The 15661-nt window shown below is 38.8% G+C and overlaps 1 long non-coding RNA gene across 3 annotated transcripts in view, besides 2 other annotated features; it reads right to left on the reverse strand.

Moving 5' to 3' along the window:
* LOC105369165 (uncharacterized) overlaps positions 1-15661 on the reverse strand; it is a 486292-nt gene that overhangs the window by 269328 nt on the left and 201303 nt on the right. The gene's annotated exons all lie outside the window — the stretch shown is intronic.
* Positions 7218-7452: a silencer, noted in NCBI's record as "fragment chr2:53226359-53226593 (GRCh37/hg19 assembly coordinates)". NCBI's record gives its function as "represses an EF-1alpha promoter that drives an FKBP-Casp9 reporter gene in an ReSE screen in HepG2 liver carcinoma cells {active_cell/tissue: HepG2}" and the evidence as "EXISTENCE:reporter gene assay evidence [ECO:0000049][PMID:32094911]".
* Positions 11839-12041: a silencer, noted in NCBI's record as "fragment chr2:53230980-53231182 (GRCh37/hg19 assembly coordinates)". NCBI's record gives its function as "represses an EF-1alpha promoter that drives an FKBP-Casp9 reporter gene in an ReSE screen in K562 erythroleukemia cells {active_cell/tissue: K562}" and the evidence as "EXISTENCE:reporter gene assay evidence [ECO:0000049][PMID:32094911]".

A 15661-nucleotide genomic window follows, 5' to 3' on the forward strand; every position in this document is an offset into this window, starting at 1 on the left:
TGACTGTAAGCTTCTGAGACAGTGACTTTGACTTTTGACCTTTTGATTCCATGCTGCTCTTTAAGATGTAGCAAAGTATTTAACACATGTTAGTTCACACCAAGGTGTACAATAATTGTTAATGAATGAATGCTATATTATCTTAATACTATTAAGATGTTACATTTATTAGTCATGTAATTAATTCAGTGACAACTTTCATCAACAAGAAACTTTGATTTTCCTATAACTTTTTGATGAGAAAAACGTATGTCCACATCAGAAGATAATGCATAGTTTAATTAGTAAACTTAAAATTTGGCATTTGGATTGTTACACTGATGTCTTATCAGTTTATGAAGAGTAAATTAGTTTTCTTAATCAAATTCCTAAAAGCCAGAAACAGGACCATGGTAGACTGGTTGAGATAATGTCACCGGTTAAGAGCGTGGGCAGATAGCCAGATAATCTTTCTTTACATAAATCTCTGCAACTGGAATTCCCTTCCTTCTAGAAAGATTATCAGAGCATTTTTCAAACTAAAGAAAAGGGAACATAAGAAATATTATTTTTCATTATATTGCAGTTTCTTAGGGCTTCATACAGATTTTTTTAATTGTGGGATCACATGAATGTTCATTACAGAATAAAAGAATATTACACTAACTATGGGAAATCACCAACCATCCATATGTAATGGGGGTTTGAGTGAAATGCATTAAATACCTGTGACCTATCAATAAAAGGATTCTTTAGACCTCTTTCACATACTTTTCCAATTGCTTCTCCCAGGATGAATCTATCTCAGGAAGCTCTTTGGTCCTACATGCCCTGAATACTCAGACATACCTTAGTCTTGAGATGACTGTAGTTTCGGCAACCAGGAAAATACCCTCAACTAGGCAGAAATACTAAGAGATTTAGAGATACTCTTGCCTCTCAACGTTAGAGGCAATATCTTGCAGCAATATTGGAACCTATGTTTCAGGACATCTTTAAAGCTAAAATGGAAACTCTTCCTACTCTTTGTTGAGATGTTTTAATTCTTGCAACAACTGCTCAGGTTTGTGGTCACAATCCATTTTCTTTACATTTTTCACTGGCTGTGAGCTGCAACAAGTATCTCTTTCCATTAAAAAAAGAAAGAAAGAAAGAAAGAAAAATTCCACAAGGAATGTCCACTGAGGCTGGTATAATTAAGGCACTCTGCCAGGAACTCTGGGACATATAAAAGAATATGAAACGTAGTCCCTTCACTCAGAGACTTTGGAGTCTAGATAGAGAGACAGAATATAGATATACGTAGTGGGTACAACTTTCAACTTATAAAGTCAAACATGCAAGAAATGTAACACTTCGTTATTTTATAACAAGTTACTTCTGTTTTAAGTTTCTGTTCTACAGGGCAAAAGAAACTAAATCTGAGTTAATTCAGGAAAATCTCACTTTTTAACTGGGCTGTTTTTCTCTTGTAAATTTGTTTAAGTTCCTTGTAGATACTGGACATTAGACCTTTGTTAGTTTCATAGTTTGGAAATATTTTCTCCCATTCTGTAGGTTGTCTGTTTACTCTGTTGATAGTTTCTCTTGCTGTTTAGAAGCTGTTTAGTTTATAGTTTCTCTTGCTGTTGAGAAGCTCTTTATTTTAATTAGAACCTACTTGTCAATTTTTGCTTTTGTTGCAATTGCTGTTGGTGTTTTGTCATGAAATCTTTGCCCTTTCCAGGATGGTACTGCCTAGGTTGTCTTCCAGGGTTTTCATAGTTTTGGGTTTTACATTTAAGTTTTTAATCCATCTTGAGTTGATTTTTGTGTATGGTGTAAGGAAGGGCTCCAGTTTCAGTCTTCTGTATATCACTAGCCAGTTATCCAGCAAGAGTTTTTGAATAGGGAGTCTTTTCCCCATTGGTTGTTTTTGTCAGCTTTGTCAAAGATCAGATGATCATAGATGTGCAGCCTTATTTCTGGGTTCTCTATTCTGTTCCATTTGTCTATGTGCCTCTTTTTGTACCAGTACCATGCTGTTTTGGTTACTGTAGCCTTGTAGTATAGTTTGAAAAGTGAGCAAGGACATGAACAAACACTTCTCAAAAGACATACATGCAGTCCATACGCATATGAAAAAAAGCTCAATATCACTGATCATTAGCTAAATGCAAATAACAATCAGATACTATCTCACGTCAGAATGGCCATTATTAAAAAGTCAAAAAATAACAGGTGCTGGTGAGGTTACAGAGAAAAGGAAACATGTATACACTGCTAATGGGAGTGTAAATTAGTTCAACCACTGTGAAAAGCAGTATGGAGATTCTTCAAAGAGCTAAAGGTAGAAAGACCATTTGATCTAGCAATCTCATTACTGCGTATATACCCAGAGGAATATAAATCATTCTACCATAAAGACACATGCATTGATATGTTCATTTTAGCACTATTTACAATAGCAAAGACATGGAATCAACCTAAATGTCCATCAATGACGGGTTAGATAAAGAAAACGTGGTACATATACACCATGGAATACTATGCAGCCATAAAAAAGAATGAGATCCTATCTTTTGCGGGAACATGGGTGGAACTGGAGGCTATTATCCTTAGCAAACTAATACAGAAAAGAAAACCAAATACCACATGTTCTTACTTATAAGTGAGAGCTAAATGATAAGAACTTAGGAACACAAAGAAGAGAACAACGACACTGGGGTCTACTTGAGGGGGAAGGGTAGGAGAAGGGAAAGGAGCAGAAAAGATAACTATCGGATACTGGGTTTAATACCTGATTGATGAAATAATATGTACAGCAAACCCTCATGACACCTTTACCCCTTCACATGTACCCCCAAACCTAAAATAAAAGTTAAAAAAATTCAGAGAAATCCCATTCACTTTATCTAGAATCAGATGTCAATATCAAGATCTATATAATTCTTCCATTTCCCCAGGAAGGGAGCTCTTACGGGGCCTGGCACCACTGAGTTGGCCAGCAATCAACTCAGGTCACTTCTGCATCATCTCTTACCCCCAGCTGCAAGCCTCTCCAGGTTTGACACTGTTTGCTGCTTTCATGCTAATATCTTTACCCATTGCTATATTAATTGATGTAATTTTCATTTGTAGTAACTTTTTTCACTTGTGAAACTCATTGAAGCTAGACCTTGAGATATCTGTTGCCTCATGGAAGATGTGCTTGGGAAGGAGACGCTAGAGGTAGCACAGGTCAGTCTGGACACCTAGAATGTGGGCAGCTGCTGCAGGCATTAGGAAAGGAAGACATCACTCCTGGCTGAGCAGGGAAAGAAGCTTTTAGGGATGTGATGGGAGTGGTGATAAATACTGAAGAGTGGAAATATGGTGAGGGGTGATCATAAGCGCTGAGGACCGAGATGCTTTGAGAACTTTCTATTATTCTTTGGAAGCCAAATGTTTATATTCTGCTTGATTTAAAGCAGCCCACATTTGGATACGAAGGCAGGTTTCAGTGTCAGGTAGACCTGAGCTGATTTTGGCTCTGACACTTGTTAACTGCATTTCCTTGAGAAAGTTTCATAGCCTTTTGAGCATGTTTTTCATTTCCAAAATGGACAAAAATCTCTACTTAGCCGGAGAATTCCATGTAAATATTTGGCACATTGCCTTGTATAGCCTCTTACTTGGCTCATTCTCCTTCCCTGCTGAGGCACAGCATGCTACAGTCTCCTACAATAATTGAAGTACATATCTTTCTTCCTTGATACACTAAAAGCTTCTTGGGGCAAGCAGTTCATCACTTTAATTTCACATGGTATGCTACTTTGCACATAAAGACTAAATAAATTTCAGTGAATTTGGCTAATTCCCATATTTACAGCTTCTTTTCTAAGAAGGCATGTCTAGGAAGCTGCTTTTTGACAACTTGGAGTTGGTTTCTAACTAACACAACGTCTAAGAAGCACTTGCTGGTTCAGAGCTGTGCTTCAGAATTAAGTTCACCTCACAGCTTCCACACAACTGGTGTTGATTCTTGGCCTTCTGGCCATACATCCAGATCCCAATCCATGAGTTCTACATATACTCACGTAGTGCAAAACTTCAAACTTCTCTTGCCTTCCTGGATAACTACTGGTTAGCCTCATCTTCTTCTCCACCCTTCCCTCTACTCGTCTCTACTTTATTTTCTTCTCATAAAGGAAGTTTTCAATATTATTTAAACAAAATATTTTCTTCCATGACTTGCTTTTGGGCATGCTGTTTCCTCAAGCAGGAAAGCCATTTCTCCACTTTTTTACTATTATCCTTTTGGGGCCTGGATAATCTACCGCCCTCTTAAAGCCCCAGCTAAAATGTTCCCTTTTCCATGGAGCACTTTCTGATTCTTCTTAAATTTCTCACATTTCCCACTGTGCCCCATAGTACTCTATACTTCCTCATTGGTTAGGATCCTATTTGAATGTAATTTTCAGTTTCTACATGTATAACTTCATAACCTTGCAGATAATGCCATGATCTATTCTTCTCAGCAGCCTCTAGATCTAACACAACACTTGACACACAGCACCTGTTCAACCAACATGGAAAAAATAATAATAGCTCTGCCAGGTATGAAGGCCGCCACTGAAGGACCTTTGCATCTGCACAGCTCAAGGCCTTCCCAGATGCAAAATTCTTATTCCACTTTGTTTCTATATGTGTGCAGAGCCAATGTCTCCTCTTTTACTCTAATCATCTCCCCGCAGCTCCTGTTCTGCACTTCATCAGTATTTGTCTACCCTATCCCTATCCCTGTATTCTATACTTTAGGATAGGATTGTCCCTAGCCACCTAGAGTTCCATCACACATTCAGGTATGCCATTTTACTTTGTTGTGCAGCAAAACTTCATGATCTTTAGCCTTATGGAAGAAGAAGTAGTAGAAGGAAGAGAAGGAAGGGAGGAGAAGGAAGAGAGGAAGAAAAGCAATTTGTAATCAGAGCAGATAAAACCTCCAAAGTTCATTACTCTGAGTATGTACAAGATAATTTTCTGGGTGCTAGAAGCCTTACATGCTAAGTGTCTTAGGGCACAGTGTTTCTTAAAAACTAAGTGTCTTTCCAAGCTCCTGCTTATCCACGTCTAAAAAACAAAAGGCTCTGTGAGAGAAGAGCTCTTTAAGCTTTTGTCCCAGGCTGAGCATTTACTTGTACCAAGGGCTGCAGTATAGCTTCTCACACAGTGGGGCTTTCCACATTGGGACAAGAAGAACATAAAAACAAAAAAGTAATTTAGCCTGCTTATAATTTACTGTATTCCTCCAGTGATTGCTAATCATCAGAATTCGTGTGTGTGTGTGTGTGTGTGTGTGTGTGTGTGTGTATGTGTGTGTGTGTGTGTGTGGACAAACCGTCTCTAGCAGCCTCACTTTCTCCTGTTTCTCCATCCTGAAGTCAATGCACAGCACATTTCAACTGTGGCACAAGTTCAGGTCAGAGCAAATTCAAGGATTCAAGTTCCATGCCAGGTTTCTCTTGCCCACGAAAGCAGGAAGCTGTGGCAGGGAAAATTCACGTTCAAATCCAATGCTGTTGCTGCATAATGGATAGGAAAAGGACAACAAATTGTGGAAACTAAGACTGAAAATGGTTTCAAGCTGGAAGGCTGTTTGTTTACACGTACCTTACTTGGTTTTTTCTTTCGATTCATGATTTTCCATATTGATTATTAAGAGAAGCCACTTTCTTTTCTCCAGGGAAAAAGACCTGGGATGTATAGTTTTTCTTAGGGAGGGGTTTGTTTTAAAGAAAGTGGCATGAAAGGAAGAGAAGGGTAAATTTTAGGAGCACTAGAAAAGCCTTCTAGCTACTAGAATGACTTTATCTTCTTCATTTAATGTTTCATTGCGGAAAATGTTATATTCCACAATGGAAAATTTTCCAACCTGAAGATTTCTGAAAGAAACAAAGCGATGTTATAAATTTACACTCTCAAATGTAAATAGTTCCTGACAGAGCCATCCTTCAGCATAGATGTTAAAGAGAATAGAAGTTATTAGTCACAGGGATAAGAGGATCAAGGAAAAGAATACATTTCTCTGACTGAGGGCCCTCCAAAAGTAAACCAAACCACTTTGCTGAGTCAGTGGGCCACCAAGAGCCTGATTTAGGACACCATTTTTCCTGTGCCACAAATCACAGGATCTAAAAAAAAAAAAAAAAAAGAAAAGAAAAGCTGACTTTTTAAAATATAATTTTTCCCTTGAAAAACTAAATGTAAAAAAGAAGAGTTTTTCTCTTTTTCCTATGACTGCAACTACTTTACCACAACGCCAGTGGGTAGAGCAAGAAAAAATAATTTTCAGTTGTGGTAAGCACGCCAAAACGATTTACAAAGAAAGATTGCAAAACATAATCACTGTACATTCTGACGGATAAGTGAAAAAAGTTCTGGAATTTTCTTCAATAGAAAATGTTAAGAGGACAATATATTGTCAATTGGTAAGGTTCTTTTTGGGGAAAACTGAATACAGGCAGCAACATAAATCCAATGATTTAAGATTTCTATCTCAACACATTTTGAAAATCTCCACCTCTATGCTTTTATCATTTTAAAAATTAAAATTCTTCTATTTTTCAAAATGTATCTTTTTCATAAGTTTATTCTTATTCTATTCTTTTTATAAAGATTTAATTGCTTACTATAGAGCAGTAGTACTCAGATTTTAGTGTGTAAAAGAAAGAAGTGAGGGGCTTATTTAAGAGAGACATTCGGAGGCCTGATGCCTAGAGAGTTTAATTTTAAACTTTCTGGAATGGTCCAGAAATCTATATTTTATTAGTTATCCAAGTGATTCTGAAGGAAGCAGTAAGATCTACTTTGAAAGGTCCACTTTGAAAGCATAACTGATTCCTCTGAACTCCTTAAAAGAATGGAGAGGAATATCTTAGAGTCATAACCTACTTAAGACTAAAACTTTTAAGAAGGCAAATCCTCAAGACCCACTTGCCCGATTTTCCAAATAACAATTTCCAAAAGGTAGAGGATACAGGTCAATGTGACTTGGCTATCTGTATTTACTGATCGATAATTACCAAAGTTAGGCCCCTGTCCTCACACAGACTGGGAAAGAGGGGCTCTGTCTGTCTTGATGATGGCCTGTTAAGGGGATGGCTCCCAGACTTTTTTCTTTTTCTTTTCTTTTTTTTTTTTTTTTTTTTTTTGAGATGGAGTCTCGCTCTGTAACCCAGGCTGGAGTGCAGTGGCATAATCTTGGCTCATGGGACCTCTGCCTCTGGGGTTCGAGTGATTCTCTCATCTCAGCCTCCCGAGTAGCTGGGATCCACCACGCCTGGCTAATTTTTTGTATTTTTAGTAGAGACGGGGTTTCATCATGTTGGCCAGGCTGGTCTCAAACTCCTAACCTCAAGTTATCTGCCTGCCTCAGTCTATGAAAATGCTGGGATTACAGGCGTGAGCCACCATGCCCGGCTGGCTCGAGGCTTTCGAGAAAGACATTCCTGAGTTGTAGAAAATGTACAAAAGGGTAGAATTTACAGTTGTAAATTTTCTCAGGTAAATGTTCTAAGAAAATGGAGATCAGGTATTTAAAGTGAGGAAGAACCCTGTCTAGAGTTTAGTCAAGCTGAGAGGCCGTAAGACTGCCTTTGTCACCTCTGCCTTCCTTATGGCCTGTGCCCTTTGCCTCCCTACTCTGACAAGAAACCAACTCTGCCTACATGACTGTGGTGCTTAGGTTCCTCTCCATTTCTAAAAATTTAATTTTTAAAATTTATTGATGCACAATAATTGTACATATTTATGGGATGCAATCTAATGTTTCAAGACATGTATATATATATTATAATGTCAGATGGTAGAACGTGAGAGTAGAATAATGATTACCAGAGGATAAAGAGGGCAACAGGAAAGGGGGTACTGGGAGAGGTTAGTCAATGGGTACAAAGTTACCACGAGAAAGGAAGAATAAGTTTTGGTATTCCATTGTGCAGTAGGGTGACTACAGCCAATAACAATGCAGTGTGTAATCTTTCTCCATTTTTAAGAAGCCTTAGAGTAGTGGCCCGGAGCTTCCTACCCTGCTTCCTCAGCTTCCATTAATTCTTCTTAGCAGAGAAAATCTCCAAAAGTGGAATTTGCCTACTCAAGAGTGACAATGAATAATCGCTGTTAATGATGAGTGCTTTACCAGCAGATCTTTAACCTCCATACAGTTGAGTAAATTAAACTTGGAGAGTTTCTAATGAAGAAAATTTGAAAGCTAATGTACTACATGCTGCCTAAAACTGCTGATTCTGTGACAACAGCAGATGATCATTCTCTGCTGGTGCTATTCAGTGTCTGCAGTAAGATATAGACCACACTCTTCATATAATCACCATAATGTCTAGAATAAATGGAGGATATTTTACTGATGACAGATGTAACTTTTCTTGCAGCTCCTTCAAAGAAGATAAAAAGGTTTTGGATTATTACAAAATAATATTTAAACAATATTATTTTTTTATATATAATATGAACAGTTATATAACAGTCTTGGTAGAATGGCAGGTTGAAGGCAGCAGGTTCAAATGCCAGCTGGCTAGCTGCAAAAGGAACAAAAAACAAAAAACAAAAAACAAATTATTATAAACCACTAGGAAACCACGACTGTCAAAGACAACCTCAGTCAGCTGAGAAAAGTCCAATTTCTAGAAATGTCTTTGTGCTTCTTCTCCTTTTACTGGAGGTTTCTTTCTTGCAGAAAAGTAATAAAATGATTATGATTTGAGATTGAGATGAATTATCAATTCATCAGGGTGTATGTTTAATGTGATATACTTGCACTAATGGTATGTGCTTTTAATTAGAGAGCTAGTCTCAAGGCAAGAGAAAATTCATTTTCCCAATAAAAATATTTTATACCCAGGATATGGTACCTTAAAAACCTTAATGAACTCTGAGGCTGACATTACAGCAATTAAAATATGAGTGAAAAAATAAGTCTGTCTTGTTGGAAAATCTGGATGATCAGAGCTATCTTCCTTATCACATGGAACATAAGTCACATTTTACATTGTTTGCAAGAATCTGCAATTTACCACAGGGAAAAACAAAGCTAATTTTCTCTTTTTTTTTGAGACGGAGTCTAGCTCTGTCACCCAGGATGGAGTGCAGTGGCGTGATCTCGGCTCACTGCGAGCTTCACCTCCCGGGTTCATGCCATTCTCCTGCCTCAGCCTCCCGAGTAGCTGGGACTACAGGCACCCACCACCATGCGCAGCTAATTTTTTGTATTTTTAGTAGAGATGGGTTTTCACTGTGTTAGCCAGCATGGTCTCAATCTCCTGACCTCGTGATGCACCCGCCTGGGCCTCCCAAAGTGCTGGGATTACAGGCGTGACCCACAACACCCGGCCTGAAAGCTAATTTTCATAAAGTGACAATGGGCCTCTCCAGCTCTGGCTGATACACAAATATTGTTTTCACTTAGGAACTGAGTATTTCTTGAAGCGGGTTAATAAGGGTTTTACAGAAGGCTGGTGAATTATCTGGAGGCAATTTTACAATTTAGAGAACAAGTGATTATGTCTATTTAGTGATGAATGGGGCAGAATTGACATTCTCAAAAGACAGGGCAATAGGATTCTAGTCAGTAAGCTTTGCTCAGTGGACGCTTTCACCTGGAGTTTTAGAGAAACTAGCTAAGTACAGTGACTTTTCTACATGTCAATATGATAAATATTTGTTAAATGTTACTGTGTAAACAGCACCCAATTAGTCACTGGTACACAATTTGCTTCTCTCGTTCACCTGTGTCTCAGTAAATATCACATTCATTCACCTGGCCACTCAAGCCGAAGCTTCAAAATTGTCCTGTGTTTTTCTTTTTTAAATTTGTAAAAAATACGTGTGGGTGCATAGTAGGTGTATACATTTATATGGGCTATATGAGATATTTTGATACAGTCATGCCATGTGTAATTATCACGTTGGGGTAAAAATGGAATATCCGTCTCCTCAAGCATTTATCTTTTGTGTTTCCAACAATTAATTATACTCTTTTAGTTATTTTTAAATGTACTAAATTATTTTTTACTAGAGTCACCTGTTATGCTAGTGAATACCAGTTCTTATCCATTCTAATTAATTTTTTGTACCTATTAACCATCTCCGCTTACCTCCCAACCGCCCCCACCACACCCCACTACCCTTCCCAGCCTTTCCATAACCACCCTTCTACTCTCTGTCTCCATGAGTTCAAATGTTTTAATTTTTAGTTGCCACAGAGAAGTCGAATGTATGATGTTTGTTGTTCTGTACCTGGTTATTTCACTTAGCATAATGACCTGCAGAGTTGCCCTTAACCATAGTTGTCCTTAATCCTCCCTCCCTTCACACTTGCATATCCAGTATATCAGCGAGCCCTATTGACAGTGCCCTCAAAATGTAACCTGAATCTGTGCAGTTCTCCCTAGTGCCACTGCCACCAGCCCAATCCAAGCTACTAGTATTTCTAATCCAGGCTACACTAATAATTTGCTTACAGATCTCCCTGTTCCCATTCTTGTTCTTTCTTTATAATCCATTCTCTACAGTCAGTGGAATTGTTTTAATGTCATAAATCAGATCATGCCACTACTCTGCTTAATACCTTCTAAAATTTCCTTTTTGCCTTTAGGATAAAATCTAATCTTTGTATCAGGTCTGCATTACCCCACATGATCTGACCCTTGCTCACTTCTTCAATTTTATCTTGTGCCGTTTTCTCATTTCTCCTTTGCCTCATTCATGCTGACCTTTCAATTCCTAAAACACATTAAGTAAGTTCCTCTCTCAGAACTTTTGCTAGATAATGTCCTAGCCTAATTCATGATGGGGTGCCCCTTTCCCATCATTCAAGTCGTAGAGCAAATGTTTCCCTCATAGGTAGTTATTCCCTAATCACCTTATCTTCTTAAATATATACTTAAAGACACCTTCAATCACTGGGTTTTTTCCCTTCAGAACATGAATAACTACCTATAATAAGGTTATTTACTTGTTTGCTTTTTTGTCTTTTTTAGTGAAAGACTTTTGTCTTTCACTAAATTTTAGGAGCCGAGTTCTAATCTGTTTAATTCACAGATATTTCAAGTGCCTCAAATGCTGCATGGCACATATGAAGTCTTCAATAAATTTTACTGACTCAATTAATGAAGTTGGCCTATAATAAATAGAAAGCCTAAAAGAATTATTCAGAAGGCAAGCATCACGTTAAGGTCAATCTGACAGCCTAACTCCCTACATACCTGGTGTTGAGAGGCAATACAGAGGTTAAGAAACCCAGGCTTGTTTGTTTTCATTTCAGTGAAAACGGGACAAATAAATAGGATAAATGGCATGCATCATGTATTAAATGTCCCTCTATATAGCTCTTTAGTCCCTTGTGCTAATGTATCTATACATACAATTACTGGGTCAAAATGCACTTGAATAGTAAATTTGTCACAGATATGATCAAATTGTCCTCAAAAGAAAAGGCGTTCTCACAAATGTATGGACTATTTCTGGATGGATACACAAAATGTACTAAGATTACTAGTCTGTGAGCTGTCAAACTAGGGATCTGGTAGGGGAAAGATGTTGATTCTTTCACTGTATGTTTTCCTATTATTTCATATTCAAACCCAATATATTACATATTTTTTAAAACTTTTAAAACTGCCTGACTCTTTTGAGACCACTCCCTATAACCATATGGAATATTCTTTTGTGCATCTTTGGAAGCCCACCCTCAGCAAGCCTGGCATACGGGACTCTATAGAGGAACTGCACTGGTACTACAAAAGTTCTTGCCTTGGGCTAGTCACCAGCTTCGTGTTATGAAATTAATATGTTGAGGACCTAAACCCTGATGTGATGGTATTTGGATATGGGGCCTTTGGTGGAGCCCCCATGAGGGGATTAATGCCTTTATAAAAAGAGGAAGAGTGAGATCACTCTCTCTACTGTGTAAGGACACAGTAAGAATGTGCCATCTGCGAGCTGAGGGCCCTCACCAGAGCCCGATTATGCTGGCACTCTGATCTTGGACTTCCAGCCTCCAGAAGGGTAGAGCTGCCACGAAATAAATTTATTTTGCTCAAAAGAAAAATCAACTCCTCCAGGCTTTGGATCCAGAAAAGCTGAAGTCCTAGTTCTGACACATGCTAATCGCTGCCCTTGGGACAAGTTGTGAAACTTTCCAGAGACTCAATTTTCTCATTTGCAATATAGAGATGATAGTATCTGCTTCATTGGATTACTGATAATTGAAAGAACTGATAGTATATAAAGTGTATAGCACAAAGTTTTACATTAAGAGCTCTGAAATTATTATTATGTGACTATTATTCCATTTTTCTAATGTTTCCAACATTCTTTTCTACCCTAACCATCATTAAGTGATGTTAACTAATCCACAAGAGTTTCCTGTGTACACATTGTTGTGATGATGGTGAAGATGGAATGAAGAGAAGAAAAGTAAAAGGAAGCTTTTAGAAAAGCTGGAACCAAGATTCTGCTTCAGAAACCACTGCCAGCTCTGTGGAGCCTGTCAAGGGCAGTGGATCTAATCTTTATTGAAAAGAACTTCAGGCAAACCTCCTGAAAGCGACTGTGTGTCCCCTCAGTCTCATCCCTACATTGAGAAAATTGTGCCATCGGTTCTTTCTCAGATGCTGACAGCTTATTGTATGGGGCTATTAAGAGAGTAACCAAGGCAGAGACAGACAGGAAAATGACAGGACGCTCTTTATGATACAACCAGAACTAACTGCTTCCCAACACAGAGGCCCATGTGGAAAGGCAATGAATTAAGAATAACCTTTGCAAGATCTATTTTTAAAGAGCAGGAAAACTAAAACCAAAAGCTTCAGGGGTTTTTTTTGTTTTGTTCTGTTTTTTCTTGAGATGGAGTCTCACTCTGTCACCCAGGCTGCAGTGCAGTGGTGGTGCAATCTCGGCTCACTGCAAGCTCTGCCTCCCGGGTTCACGCCATTCTCCTGCCTCAGGCTCCCGAGTATCTGGGACCACAGGCCCCCACCACCACACCTGGCTAATTTTTTGTATTTTTAGTAGAGACAGGGTTTCACCCTGTTAGCCAGTATGGTCTCGATCTCCCAACATCGTGATCTGCCCGCCTCGGCCTCCCAAAGTGCTGGGATTACAGGTGTGAGCCACCGCCCCTGGCCTTTTTGAGATGGAGTCTAGCTCTGTCACCCAGGCTGGAGTGCAGTGGTGCAATCTTGGCTCACTGCAACCTCTGCCTACCAGGTTCAAGCAATTCTCCTGGCTCAGCCTCCCGAGTATCTGGGATTACAGGTGTCCACCACCAAGCCCAGCTAATTTTTGTATTTTTAGTAGAGACACGGTTTCACTGTGTTGGCCAAGCTGGTCTCGAACTCCTGACCTCATGATCTGCCCGCCTCGGCCTCCCAAAGTGCTGGGATTACAAACGTGAGCCACCGCACCCAGCAAGCTTCAGGTTTTTTATCGGAAATAGTTACAATTTGTAACCTTGTAGGAGACTACCTTAACAGTCATAACCATTAGTTCATTACACAAAATACAGGTTTGTTGGTGGGAAATGGTTCAGTTGGTGCTTTCCTGTTACTAAGTTGCCGACACCATCCCTCCAAATACGGAATCTATAACTTGACAGTGATGGAGGACAAGGGCACTCAAAGCTCAGCTCCCTCCACACTGGTTGCCATGACTACAACCTCATGGACCCTTCATTTCACAACTAGGCAACGTCCACAGCTTTTGAATCAAAACTAGCTTATTCCATTTTCATTTGAGTCAGATCTAACTGAATTCTTACATGCCTTGTCAAAAACAATAGTTTTGCTCTTAGTATAACATCATGTTTTGTTTAAAAAAACAAGCCCCTTTTTGTCCCCAAGAGTCTATTATAGTTCTGCCTCCCAGAGACTGAGAAAATACATCATTGTATGACCTGTAAAGTCTGAATTGCTTAAAATCAGCTACATTTTTCAGGCCATCTTAGACATAGGTTACCATACAAACTTTGTACAGATACTCAGAAAGTACAGATTTTGCATTTCCATTTATATTTAAAAACCACAACCATGACGCAAAGATTCTTTTAAAATCTCATCAAACAATACTTTTTAATACCAATCCCTTTTGTCTCTATCTGGACATGCAAGGCACTAACCAGAATAGAAAAATACGTTTCAATTCCATGAAAGTACAAATAAGTGAAATAAATCTAGTATAGCCAGTTCTTGGCCCTCACCAGTACCTGTGCCACCACACCAGCTATGAAGTGCCATAACTTTGTTAATCCCGTAGGCAAATAAAATAAATACACCACCAAGATACCTCCAAACTATTGCTCCTAGTACAGCAGAAAGAGGAGAGGTACTGAATTATTTTAAAACCAAAAATTTATGCATCTCTTTACTCATTCATATACTTAACAATTGCTTGTAGATTATCTACTATGTGCCAGGCACTGAACTGAGTCTGGGGCATGGTTCTTTATCGAAAGAGGCATACAGTCTATTCTAAAATTTGACCAGTAAGCAAACTTAAAACTGCCCATGATAATAGCTAAAATGAGGCTTGAGGAAGAAAAATACTGTGATAGCCCAAACATACAACCACAAGAAAAACCAGGAATTTGCACAATGGGTGTTTGGGCTGATTTCTGAATAGAAAATTGGGGTTTGGCCAGTGGAAAAGGAGTGAAGGGCTACTTCAGATGAGAAGCATATGCACGGCCAAGAGGTGTGAAGCAGTAGAGTGTACTCACTTCCAGGGGCACTGAGTGATACAAGTGAAGATTCAGCAGGATAAGTAGAGATGCCAGGTCACAGAGGTCCTGTGTGCACACAAATACAAGTGCTGAGGACCAGACAGTGGAGAAACTTGGGAAGTGATGGGATCTGATTTGTGTTTTAGAATCACGATCCTTTGTGTAGAGGGTAAGACATTATAAGGATACACTGGAGTGGGGGAAGTCGCGAGCCAAGGAGTTATTATAATAGTCCATGTGAGAGGTGATAGGGGCCAGTTCAGATGGGGATGAAGAGGAGGTGACACATGCAAGAAATATTCAAGAAATACAACTAATAAGAATTAAATAAATAAGCTAGAGGGAGCAAAGGAAAAGGAAGCAATGATGACACCTTGGCTGTTGAGTTTCAGTGTTCCTGTGAATGATGGTACAATTGGTTGTACATTAAAGGTGCAATTATGACTCATCTAGCACAAGTTGAACTTCGAGATGTCGAGGATTAAAGATAACATACTGGATCTCAGTAGAAAACTTTGATCTAGGGACACAGATGTAGGTGTTATCAAATGTAACTGATACTGAACTTCAAAATGAAGAGAAGGAAAAAATAAGGACTAAAGTCTGCAATATTAGGTTCACTGTTATTAAGGAAGTCAAAAGAGAGAGAAGATGCAGCAAAGGTTACACAAGGCAGTTAAGAGAAAAAAATAAGATTAAATAGTGAGAAAGAAAAGCAGTTAGTACTCACATTCAGGATATCTCAAACCTGCTATGCCACTGTCATTAATTGTGATGCGCACATATCCTGTGTTACCACACTTAATGCAATCCAAAGAAGTATATGTATTTGCCATCCTAAGAGGCAAACAAGTTTGTGTCTCAGTTTCACACCGTGGATCTGAAATCTTTCAACAAAAATAGCAACTCTGAGCTTTACAACTGCTG

This window comes from Homo sapiens, chromosome 2 (genome assembly GCF_000001405.40).
Source record: "Homo sapiens chromosome 2, GRCh38.p14 Primary Assembly".
Classification (NCBI taxonomy): Eukaryota; Metazoa; Chordata; class Mammalia; order Primates; family Hominidae; genus Homo; species Homo sapiens.